Here is a 12286-nt window from a genome sequence, read left to right on the forward strand (position 1 = left end):
TCCAACATACTGATTGTAGCGGGGAACGCCACAGAGGGGAAAGCAGTTTCCTCCTGAAGAAACCCCAAAGGGCAGCCCTGGCTGGGCTCACACCAGGATGGGACATCCTGGGGGATGGAGGATCAAGGCCAGGATCCTCCAGACACCTCCCCAGGCTGCGCTGCCGGCCAAACTGGCTTCACTCTCACGGCAGCCCCATCCTTTGCCCTGATTTCTCACCCACCCCCCACTTCCTGGACCTTTCCCAGACACCCCCTTCAGACACCAGACTGTAGTGAAACACTACTACATATCTTCAGATCAAACTGATATTTTTCAAGAAAATAGGAAAGTCTCCTTAAAACAGCAGATTGAAAGGAAGTGACAGAGAATAGACGAACGTAATTTCCAGACCATCGTCCTTCAGGGGTGGGGCCCGTGGAGAAGAAAACCTCTCAGTGCCATTGTCTCGCACCTGGGAGGACGCACATGGGGCAAAAGGGATGCAGGCAAAGCAGTCCCTTCTGAGACACAGAGAGAAAGAACATCAGGCAGAGAGGCAAAGAGAACGCAAAATATGCCCCCCGGGGCTTTGGTTTAGCCAAGAACAGTCACCCTCAGAATTAGTGCTGGCAACAGACAGAAAGTGGCATCCCTTTGATGCCCTTGGACCCTTTGAATTAGTGCTGGCAACAGACGAAAGCAGCGTCCCTTGTGCTTGGAGCCTTTGGCCCTGATCATGGATGTAGGGCTCGGGGTCTCTAACACCTTTACGGAGAGGGAGCGATGGCACTCTACTGGGTCCTAGCCCAGGAAACCAGACAAGGAGAGACACGGCTAGGTAAACATGGTTGCCAGACAAAAAGAGCAAGAAAGGTACCAAACGAAAGTATTTTTCATATTTCTTTAAATCTTGTCCTACATTAGAGCCTTCCTTTAATAGATATAAAAATGTTGTAAATTGGTCATTTTAAATGTTGCACTTGATTATTCTAATAATTTGGTGAATGCATAATGACTAAAGATGACTATATATGATCAGATTGAGATTAAATGATCTTCAAATCTTTTTTTTGAGACAGAGTCTCGCTCTGTCACCAGGCTGGAGTGCAGTGACGCGATCTCAGCTCACTGCAACATCTGCCTCCTGGGTTCAAGCGATTCTCCTGCCTCAGTCTCCTGAGTAGCTGGGATTACAGGCATGCACCACCATGCCTGGCTTTTTTTTTTTTTTTTGTATTTTTAGTACAGACGGGGTTTCACCATGTTGGCCAGACTGGTCTCGAACTCCTGACCTCAGATGATCCGCCCACCTCGGCCTCCCAAAGCGCTGGGATGACAGGCATGAGCCACCGCGCCCAGCCTTGAATCAGTTCTATGTGCCCAGAGTCACTCTAGCTATCTGGCCAAACCGCCGTAAGCCCGTCACTACTACTTACTGGGGGGCACCTATTTGAGTTATAGATATCGCTCCTCGGAAATGCCGGTCCTGGATATTCAAATGAAAGAGTGACAGCAAGTGTTGCTGGGTGTAGCAATGCAGAATTTCCCAAATTTGACTCTGACCTCATCCCCTACCCACCTCCCCACTCTCCCCAGCCAGCCAAATAGTCCTACCAAAGAGCTCCAAGTCGGTGCAGCTGTCTCTGAGCGTGAAGTTGGCATCCTCAGCATTGCTGGTGTACTGAATCAGCGTGGTCTGCCCCTTGTAGGCTTCAATCACACGACCACCATTGATGGAGGGCGGGTACTGATCTGAAACACAAAGAGGGAATGGGGGTTCCGAGGCAGGACAGTCTCCTGCTTTATCAGCCTCCTCTCTTTCTCAACTCTAATATGTGTGAGGCATTCCCAGGACTGTGACCCACCTCTGGAAGAAGGAATTATTCTGTGTACCTGCTCTCGACTGACGCACAGCAGGCTGGGACTGTACTGCCCACCTAGCCAAATCTTTAGCCTCTTTCTCTCCCCCCACCTCCTCAAAAAGAGCTCCTTTCAGATTCTTTCCTGAACACAGTGCTATGCTGGGTATGACAAAAAGTGAATTAGAGAGCAGATTTGTTTGGACCATTACAAAGGGTTGTACCCTTAGACCAAAGGGTTGTACCTTTGGCAAAGGGCTGAAAACCTGAAGGGTGCTGGGTGTCTCATGTCTGTAATCCCAGCACTTTGGGAGGCCGAGGCCGGTGGATAACCTGAGGTCAGGAGTTCGCGACCAGCCTGACCAACATGGTGAAACCCTGTCTCTACTAAAAATACAAAATTAGTCAGGCATGGTGGCGGGTGCCTGTAATCTCAGCTATTCAGGAGGCTGAAACAGAAGAATCGCTTGAACCCGGGAAGCAGAGGTTGCGACGAGCCGAGATCACGTCACTGCACTCCAGCCTGGGCAACAAGAGCGAAACTCCGTCAACACACACACACACACGCACAAAACCTGGAGGGTCACATCTAAAGGGACATTGCATTTGTCCAGAAATAGAGAGGGAGTGAAACCTCTTCACGGGTCTGTTTCTCGGAGCCCTGCCATTTCCATTTCATAGTTGCTTCACACATTCATTCAGTCAGTCATTTAACAAACATTTATTGAGCTAAGTGGCTGGCACTGTTCTGGGTGGTGAGGATACAGTCATGAATGAATAATTAAAAAGATACCTGTGAAAATTATAAAATATGTTGAGTAATTATAAATGCTAAGGAGAAAAAAATAAAGCAGGGAAGGCAAACATGAAGTGTGGGTGAATGTGACATTTTAGACAGGGCGGCCAAGAGAGGCCTCACCAAGGAGGGGACATTGGAATGAAGACGTAAAGAAGGTGAGGGGCAAGCGTGTGGCTGTCCAGGGAAGGAAGGGTATTCCAGGCAAGAGAACAGCACGTGTGAAGCCTGGGAGCTGAGCGCACCTAGCGTGTTTGAAGAACACAGAGGAGCCTGCGGGGCTGGAGTGCAGGGAGCTGGGAAGGGGTCCAGCGCTAGGATGGAGTGGAGGGGGCTGGGAAGGCATCCAGCGCTAGGATGGATGGAGGGGGCTGGGAAGGGGTCCAGCGCTAGGATGGAGTGGAGGGGGCTGGGAAGGCGTCCAGCGCTAGTATGGAGTGAAGGGGGCTGGGAAGGCATCCAGCGCTAGGATGGACGGAGGGGGCTGGGAAGGCGTCCAGCACTAGGAGAAGAGCTCTGAGAAGCTGAACTGGGCCGAAGGCCACTGCAAGGATGGAGAGAGCCAGGGAAGTCTCTGAAGGGTTTGAGCAGAGGAATGCCAGGAGTGGAAGAATCTGCTCAGTGAATGCAGATGCACAGGGAAAAGCAGGGTCAGGCAAGGGCAGCTCCTCATCTGCTCCCGACTCTGAAAAGGCCTCCCCAGGCCTCGGGCCACTTACTGAGGGTGGCGTTCGCCTGCTCGTAGTTTTTACTGACTTCCCTCGTGTGAAGTCCGATGCTTGCGTTGCGCAGGGCCAGGGTGTCATAGATGCATGAGCTATCTCCGTCACAGTTGGAGATCAAATGTTCAGCCCAGGAGCTGTTTTTTTGCAGTTGTGAGTAGAAAACAGGGGTGAAGTTGGAAGGCAGCTGGTCATTCCTCTTGCCAAGGAGGCCTGTCCCGTTGATCTGCCCTGTAACACACAGAGCGCGGTGGTACCAGGCATGGCACTCAGCCTTATTCCATCTGTGTCCACCTCTACCCCTCACTTTAGATGGCTTGGAGCGGGGCGGTGGGAGTGCAGGGCCAGAGCGGTTTCCAGCTTCTGAGTCTAGAAACACCTGCTGCAGTGAGAGAGGACACTCCACGTCCCCCATTCTCTCCTCCAGGTAGAGAGAGGCAGGTGGGCTGGTGGTGGTGGGGACAGCCCTGGGGGGGCACAGATTCCTCAGACCTTAGGGAGGATGGAGGTCTGCTTCCTACAGGGCCGAGGGGGACGACATAAACATACCGGCTCCCCTCACCTGCCCCTCTGCCCCAGGACCCTGCCCAGACTCACAGGTCATTCCAAAGTGGAAAAGCATCTCCTCAGGGCTCCCTGGGGGAATGGTGGAGCCATTGGGCATCCTGAAGTCGTCCTCTGGATTGTTATTCCAGACCCCTGAGGGACAGAGTGGGAGGTTGGCCACCCTGGGCACGCGGCTGTCCCCTTCCTGGGGAGCATCCGGCGGACGCAGTGGGGAGAGGCCAGGGCCTGGCAGCCTCTGCTCTTGCACCTGCTGTCAGGCCTCCAGGGGAGCCGGGAGGACGGGCCCTCACACCCTGCCCGTCTGCCTTCGGGAGGGGCGGGAGGAAACGCGGGCAGCGGTGGAGGAGGGCGGGAGGATGTGGGAGGCAAGAGGAAAGGGAGAAAGGATGGCTGTGCCCCCCGCCTCCCCGCAGCCCCCCCTGATGCTCCCTTAGAGCGGGCGGAGGACAGGAAGGGAGCCTCGGGGGAGGCTGGAGAAGCCCCTCGGCTCCCGGCCCGCTCTGTGCCCCAAGGGTTCTGCTCCAAGGAGGCGGAGAAAGGGAGGCCGAGCAGGGCTGCCCGGGCCGCCGGCGTGGGGGTCCGAGCTCCGGCTGGCTCCGCGGAGCCTCAGAGGCAGGTCCGAGCCGCCCTCACCCAGGAGCCCCTCCGTGCGGTTCTGGTACTCGGGCGGGAGGCTGGCGGAGGCGTGGAGGATGTTGGAGAGCGCGATCACCGAGACGGTGGCCCAGCCGTCGAAGCTGGCCGAGACCTCAGAGCCGTTGCGGCTCAGGAGGACTCCGGTGGCGTTGAACGTCTCCTGGCCTGGAGCATCGGGAGGCAGCGGAGAGGAAGCCAGGTCGGCACCACGGCCCGCACCAAACCCGCGCCCTGCCGGGCCCGCACCACCCCCACCCCGCCCCTGGGGCTGAAGCCGGGAGGGGTCTGCACTGGAGGCGGAGAAGAGGCCGGCGAGCTGCACGCCCCGCTCGGGGGTAGAGGCTGCGCTCTCTTGGCCCTGCACCGCCACGCACCGGGCCCTGCACCGCCACGCACCGGGCCCGGCACCACAACGCACTCGGCCCTGCACCGCCACGCACCGGGCCCTGCACCGCAACGCACCCGGCCCTGCACCGCAACGCACCGGGCCCTGCACCGCCACGCACCCGGCCCTGCACCGCCACGCACCCGGCCCTGCACCGCCACGCACCGGGCCCTGCACCGCCACGCACCGGGCCCTGCACCACAACGCACCCGGCCCTGCACCGCAAAGCACTCGGCGCGGCACCGCCACGCGCCCGGCCCTGCACCACAACGCACCCGGCCCTGCACCGCCACGCGCCCGGCCCTGCACCGCAACGCGGCTTCCCGCCCACCTCGCTGCTCCCGGTGCGGGGAGGGGGCGGCCGGCGCTCCCCAACCTACCTCCGCCGTCTTCATGGTCAGGCTGAAATGTCACAGTCTGGTTATCCAGCAGGACACGGATTGCGTCGTGAGGCTCAAGGAGCCATTGGACCTGGAAGGAGATGGGAGGGGGCCTGAGCCCGACCCGCAGGTGGAGCCGACGCCCAGGAAAGCAGCTGGGAGAGCCCCTGGGGCTGGAAGCTGCGCCCTGGGCCGGGAGGAAGGCGCTGGAGGCCGCGGCCTGAGGTGATGCCAGCCGCCGTCTACCGTGTGCTCGGCAGGGCCAGGCATGGTTTTCGGATTATGCCCTTTAGCTCTTACAACAGCCCGTGAGGCAGGTAATGTCATCCCCATTCTTACTAGGAGAAAACCAAATTAAGTAGTTTCTTCGAAGCCAAGCAGCTGGGAAACCGTGGGGCCAGAGCCCTAATCCACCATCCCCAGGATTTACTCCGGGACAGCTGCGTGGATGGGCTGTGTCCTCCCTCCCTCCTGCCCGGCTTCCCCTCCTTCGCTCTCTTCCTTCTCCTCGGCCTCAGTATGTGGCTGAAGGTCCCTGTGGGTGGAATGCAGGGAGGTTCCCGGCACCCCTCACTCACCGTGACGGGGCCCAGGCTGCTGGAGCGGTACTGAGCCGCAAAGGCGATGAAGTTGGTGGCCTGGGCTGAGCCAGTCTGGGCGGTGCGGCCCTGAAGCAGGAAGGAGGAGTTCCCGTCTTGGGCCCCGACCAGCAGGAAGTCCCCCAGCCCATTGAAGGTGTAACTGACACCATCCAAGGTGGTGATGTGGGGGTCCCCGAACATCCAGGCTGGAAGGAAAAAAGAGATGCTGCCTCAGCATGACAAATCATGTGTAGGGCTGAGGTTCCTCACTGCAGTCAGGTGCGGCACTTGTCCAGGAGGACTCAGGGTGAGGTTCCTCACTGCAGTCGACTGGGGCACTTGTCCGGGCGGACTCAGCTGGGGAGATGTTCACAGAGCACAGAATCCTCCCCTCAAGCCTCCTTGCATTTTCGTGCCCCGCTATTCTCACTCCTTCCCCAACTCAGGTACAAAGCCCCTCCACTGACCATCCACCCATCACTGGCGTCATCTCCATCTTCCCTTGTGGCCACAGCTCTGCCCCTACTCCTTATCCAGATGCCACCTCCCGGAAGCCCAGAAGCTCCCCCTCCCCAGAGGCTCTTCCTGGGCCTGGGCCCTGTCGCTCACCGGGCTGTGGGGGCCTGTATGTAGCACAGCCCACGTGGGGCCGCCTCTGCTGGTACAGGGCACAGAGGTAGGGCTTGTCATTCCAGCGGCAGCACCAGCTCTGTGGCTCCAGTTCCTGGGCTGCGGAGAACAGCAGTGAGTCGGGGAGGTTGAGGACCTGGAGAAGCTTGGCAGGGCAGGGTGGTGTTGGTTGAGAGCTTGGCAGGGCAGGGCGGTGTTGGTGGAGAGCTTGGCAGGGCAGGGCGGTGTTGGTGGAGAGCTTGGCAGGGCAGGGCGGTGTTGGTGGAGAGCTTGGTAGGGCAGGGCGGTGTTGGTGGCAAGAGCATGGCTTTGGAATCCAGCATGGCCCTTCTCATGACCTTGGGCAGTGAATAGGGTGCTGTCTCTTTTGCAGGCATTGGGGCCACTGTGCAGCAGGGCGCATGGTAGGAGCTAAGCAAATTTCCTGTCTTGAGGGTGGAGAGCCAAGTACTGCTGCTCTCAACGTGCTGGGAGTGGGGAGGGCACGGCTGACGGTCTGGGAACTGTGGAAACTGCCATGGGACGGGGGAGAGAACGGGAGGACACAGACCACGTGACCCCACACCCCTGCGCTCTCCAGCTCCCTTGGAGCGTCTCTGTGGGAGCTGACTCTCAGTCTTCCCCCAAACATCCTGCTCATCTGGGTCTACAGGGACGGGGTCAGCCTAGGCGCTCTCTTCTTGCCTGGAGAAATGGCCCCACTCTGGCCTGGGGATGTGGAGCCAGGTATAGAGATGAGGAAAGAGGCTCTCAGCTCATACATCCCCGAATGTCCGCTGGTGGGGATGTTGGAAGCTTCCTAACGTTACCCGATCAGGAAGTGGAGGCCCAGAGAGGGGAAGGGTCTGGGAAGGAATGAGGACGAGAGGCTTCATGCTGAGGGTCCCCTACTTGGCCGGGAAGGTGGGGTTGAGATCACGGACTCACGCACCCAACTGCCAAGGACGCTGCACGTGCCAGCCTTCACGAAACTCTCCCCAGGGCCCGTAGCTGCAGCACACGCCTCCTCGCCAAGAGGTGAAGCTGCACAGCTGCCTACTGCCGAGGCCCCAGCGACCTGAAACAAGTCCAGTCCCACTCAGGCCCAGGCTGGGGCTGCCAGGGGCGGGGTGGGAACAAGCAGGGGCTGTTTCTGGGGAGAGGCTGAGGGCGTGAGCAGAGAGGGTGGTGGGTGGGCTTGTGGGGGGCGGGAAGGAGGTGTCACCTATGCTGACGGGTTGGAATCGTAAGTCCCGTCGTCCCTGCTGCCAGGAACAAGGGCAGGAGACCTGGTTCCAGCCCCAGCTGGGCCACCGAGGCTGGCTCTTCAGCCACTGCAGGCACTCGAGACGGTAGTTGGGCCTTTCTTCCCGGTGTAGCCTGTAGAACTGCAGCCCTTGGAGGCCTGAGGTCGGGGATGGGGGGGAAAGGGCTTATCCAGGGCTGGGGCTGCAGGCCCTGTCTCAGCTTTAGGGTCAACCAAAACTCACAAATGCACCCCCTCCTGCCACTTCTCACCTCTTTGGACCCAAGTCAGATGGGCAACAATTCCTCCCCCAAAGCCCCTCGCTTGACTTAGCGTCTGCTTCTGACGACCAAACGTGGTTGCCACAGAACAAATAGAACTGGATTTACACTTCACAGTTCACGTGGCTGGTTTCTAAGGCTAAAATGTCCTTCAACCTATCACATTTTGGAAACTATTATTTCTTTCCCATTGGGGCCTCTGGACTGAGTCATGGAGAAGGCGCCATTGTTTGCCTCTTGACGCTTGTCTTTCTACCCGCATGAAAGCTCTTTGAGAGAAAACACAGTTGGTCTTTTTCCTTTGTTTCTGGCTGTTAGCACGGTGTCCAGCACACGGCAGGTGCCCAGTAAATGATGACAATGAACGTGAGACCCCCGGGCCTCTTCTTGGTGGATTCTCTCTTTTTGAGATGGAGTCTCACTCTGTCACCCAGGCTGGAGTGCAGTGGCGCGATCTCGGCTCGCTGCAACCTCCACCTCCCAGGTTCAAACAATTCTCCTGCCTCAACCTATTGAGTAGCTGGAATTACAGGTGTGCACCACAACGTCTGGCTAATTTTTGTATTTTTAGTAGAGACAGAATTTCACCATGTTGGCCAGGCTGGTCTCGAACTCCTGATCTCAAGTGATCCGCCCACCTCAGCCTCCCAAAATGCTGGGATTACAGGTGTGAGCCATGGCGCCCAGCCGGTAGATTTTCTTAAAGGATCTCACCTGGGTTCTCATTCCTGCTCTGGACAGGACACTTGGAGTATTGTCTGAACTGCCCATTCAAATCCCACCTCCCACAAGACCCTGTCCTCACTTCCAGGATCTGGGCCCCCCGAGAGCCCTCTTGGGCTGGTTCATCTGAGGGAGGAGATGTAGCCCCCTCTGAGACTGTGCTGTGTCCAGGGGTGCAGGAGGTGCCAGCTGCTCCCTGGGTGGTGCCACATCCCACCTAGACCTGTAGGAGGTTGAACTGTGTGGGGGAGGCCCTTCAGGATGGCCGTGATGTTAGGGAGGTGCCCTCTAGGACTGCGATGGTGTATGGGCTGGAGGACACGCGAGGGCTTGAGACCAGCTCAGGTGTGATAAGGTGGCACTTTTACCTGAGTTGGAATTCAGGAATCTATCAGGGCGATACCTCTCCCACACTGGCTGGGACATCAGTGGGCTGTTTTCGAAATAGCCATCTCCACTGCAGGAAAGGAGAGACTCTCAGGCCTCTGCCGTGCACAGGCTCTTGCCTCGCGGTTGCAAGGCGTCCATTCATCCCGCTAGCCGGTCAGCAGCTGGTCAACCAGCTAGGCGGGCAGTGGGTCAGTGGGTCAGCCAGCCCCCATCGTCAAGCCCCAGCACTGAGCAGGAGAGGGGACAAGATGGCTGGGCAGAGGTAGGAGGCTCTAACCGATTCCACATCTGATCGCTAGCTGCAAGAAACTGGCAGGTCCGCTTGGTCATGAGACAGGGGCGTGAAAACAACAGAGTTCAGGCCTCATTTCTGTTTGTTTCCCTTCAACAAGCAGAGGGTTTGGAGCGGGACAGACTCTAGGGACAGTGTATTGTGATGGTTAAGACCCAGTTTCTGGAGTTAGGCAGTGATGGATTCAACTGCTGATCCCCCCACTTACTAGCTTGGTGACCACAGACAAGTTACTGACCCTCTCTGATTCTTAGTTTTCACATCTGTATAAAAGGGATTACAGTGGCATCTACCTCACTGTATTGTGAGGATTAAATGCAGTAACATCTGCAAATCCCTCAGAACTGAGTGAGGCCTTGATACAACAGATGCTGCCACTGCTGCTACCACCACCACCACCATCGCCAGCACTACCACCACCACCACCATCATCGTCACCACCAACACTACCATCACCATCACCATCACCACCACCACCACCAACACTACCACCACCATCACCATCACCACCACCATCACCATCACCACCACCATCACCATCACCACCACCATCGCCACCACCATCATCACCATCACCATTACCATTGCCACCACCATCACCACCACCATCACCACCACCACCATCATCACCATTGCCACCACCATCACCACCATCACCACCACCATCGCCACCACCACCACCACCACCATCACCATCACCACCATCACTGGCCACCCCCCAAAAAATACCACCATCGGCCACCACCACCATCACCACCACCATCACCATCGCCACCACCACCATCACCACCACCACCACCATCACCACCATCATTGCCACCACCATCATCACCACCATCACCACCACCACCACCATCACCACCACCACCATCGCCACCATCACCCCCAACACCACCACCATCACCACCATCACCACCACCATCACCACCATCACCATCGCCACTGCCACCTCCACCGCCACTACCACCACCACCACCACCACCACCACCACTATCGCCATCACCGTCCCCAGGTGTGGGGTCCGAGCATGGCCCGGGAAGGAGGAAAGCCTGGAGCAGCCGCCTGCAGCCCCACCCTGGGTGCCTGCTGCAGAGTGGGGACTCTTGGGCTTTTCCTCCTCCCTGACACAAGCAGGATGATGCACCCCTGCGTGACACCTTCCTTGGGTGTACCTGGACCGTGTGAAATTCCTAGAGTTGGGTAATTCCCCTCCTTTCTCCTTCATAGCACACCAAGAAACTAGTGAAAGCAGTGTAATCAAAGGGGTAACCTGAACACACTCAATGTAAGAGAAGACATTTGCAGCAATTATCAAGAACAAAAGACATGTGGCCTTCGTACTGATTGCCACACCCCAGCATATGGGAACAGAGATGGCGCACTGCTACATCGGAGACAGCCTCCCACACACGGGAATCCACATTTCAACCGCCCACAGCCCCGTGCCTCCTCTCTCCCTTCACCACCGGCTCCATATAAGCTTTTGGGTGCCCCCTGGATAAGTGGGTAATTCTCAGGAAGTCAGGAAGGCAGATTCTAGCCTCAGATGTCTGGGTTCAAATCTCCATGTTGCCACTTCCCAGCTCTGGGACTTTAGGCAAATTGCTAGTCTATTTGTATCTCAGTTTCCTGATCTGTAGAATGGGGATGATAAATAGTATCTGCCTCGTGGGGTGGCTGTGATCATGACATGCAGTAATGTACACGAAGTGTTAGTGTCATCAGTCTTGGCTGTTATTATCACGATATTTGAGAAGGTAAGAGAGGCCAGCTAATGTCAGTGGAAATCAGGGAAGCCAAAGCTCTGGGAATGATTACAACTCACGGGGACTGGGATGGGAAAGGGCATGGCGGACAAATGGGTGATCTTGTCGTGGGAAGCAGCCAGATGCCTGGCCCCAGCGGGAGCTGGAGTCAGCGTGAGTCAGAAGCACCAGCCAGGAGGGTTCCCGCCTTGCCCCAGGATGGGAGTGTGTGTGCAGCGAAAGCCGACTCTACACCCCTCCCTGCCAACTGCTCAGTGCTGACAGCCCCTCCCATCCTACCTAGAGAAGCCCATGAGCACCGGGTTGCCTGAGCGCTGGGCCACGTCCCACTGCATCCCACCGCTCTGGTAGAGAAACAGGGCATAGGACCTGCTCCCGTCCGTGGAGAGGATGGCTTGGTAGGTGTTGCTCTGGGGGTGGGTGGAAGAAAACACAGGGATGCCCGTGAGAGATCCGGGGTCTCCTCTCTTATGTCCCCCCGCCCGTCCCACAGCCCTGCTCTGACACGCACAGCACCTGTTCCTGGTCTGCCCACAGCAAAGACATGGGCCCAAAATGCTGGCAAGTTTTGGGTCAGTGAGGGCAGCTTTCACCCTGGGTGCGAACGCACTTACCACGGTGGATTTGCCTTTTGGTGACTTTCTTCCAGGAGGGGAGATAAAGGGTTCTGGGTTACAATTCAGTTAGATGAGTGTTTGTTAGAGAAAGCTACCAGAACCTGAGATCAGCCAAGATACCAGAGAGCTAGAGAGGAGGCTTCATTAGCTCCCGCGCGGATATTTAAGGACATTGCCCAAATTGTCTCCTCCATCTAAACAGCATGGATGACACTGGGGTTCACTGAAGGCGCACACGTTGTCCACAGTAGGTGACCAGTGAACTTTTGTCGAGTGAATGAAGAAATGAGTGACTTTAGACCAGGCATAAGGAAGAACTTGGTGACTACAAGAGCGGGGTCCTCGGAGGGAGGACAGAGGAGATGGTGTGGCGCACCCTGTGCCCGTTGGATGAGCCTGTGCTTCAGAGCCAGAGGCTGGAGTCAGAAGAAGCTCCACTCAGGCCTGGCTTTGC

The 12286-nt window shown here is 57.2% G+C and overlaps 1 protein-coding gene across 3 annotated transcripts in view, besides 2 other annotated features; it reads right to left on the minus strand.

The window, feature by feature from the left end:
• MUC4 (mucin 4, cell surface associated) overlaps positions 1-12286 on the minus strand; it is a 65159-nt gene that overhangs the window by 10757 nt on the left and 42116 nt on the right. For all 3 annotated transcript variants that reach the window (NM_138297.5, NM_004532.6, NM_018406.7), the window contains 11 exons: positions 11495-11625; positions 9136-9224; positions 7743-7922; positions 7470-7595; positions 6518-6637; positions 5906-6114; positions 5328-5418; positions 4560-4727; positions 3957-4058; positions 3357-3590; positions 1597-1734 (listed from right to left, as the gene is read on the minus strand). In NM_138297.5, the coding sequence (NP_612154.2) occupies positions 1597-1734; positions 3357-3590; positions 3957-4058; positions 4560-4727; positions 5328-5418; positions 5906-6114; positions 6518-6637; positions 7470-7595; positions 7743-7922; positions 9136-9224; positions 11495-11625 (1588 nt within the window). The remainder of the gene's footprint in view (positions 1-1596; positions 1735-3356; positions 3591-3956; positions 4059-4559; positions 4728-5327; positions 5419-5905; positions 6115-6517; positions 6638-7469; positions 7596-7742; positions 7923-9135; positions 9225-11494; positions 11626-12286) is intronic.
• Positions 4623-5124: an enhancer, noted in NCBI's record as "H3K4me1 hESC enhancer chr3:195489021-195489522 (GRCh37/hg19 assembly coordinates)". NCBI's record gives its function as "activates a minimal SCP1, AML or CMV promoter by ChIP-STARR-seq in naive H9 embryonic stem cells {active_cell/tissue: H9 hESC(naive)}" and the evidence as "EXISTENCE:reporter gene assay evidence [ECO:0000049][PMID:30033119]".
• Positions 11037-11538: an enhancer, noted in NCBI's record as "H3K4me1 hESC enhancer chr3:195495435-195495936 (GRCh37/hg19 assembly coordinates)". NCBI's record gives its function as "activates a minimal SCP1, AML or CMV promoter by ChIP-STARR-seq in primed H9 embryonic stem cells {active_cell/tissue: H9 hESC(primed)}" and the evidence as "EXISTENCE:reporter gene assay evidence [ECO:0000049][PMID:30033119]".

Source organism: Homo sapiens, chromosome 3, assembly GCF_000001405.40.
Source record: "Homo sapiens chromosome 3, GRCh38.p14 Primary Assembly".
Taxonomy (NCBI): Eukaryota; Metazoa; Chordata; class Mammalia; order Primates; family Hominidae; genus Homo; species Homo sapiens.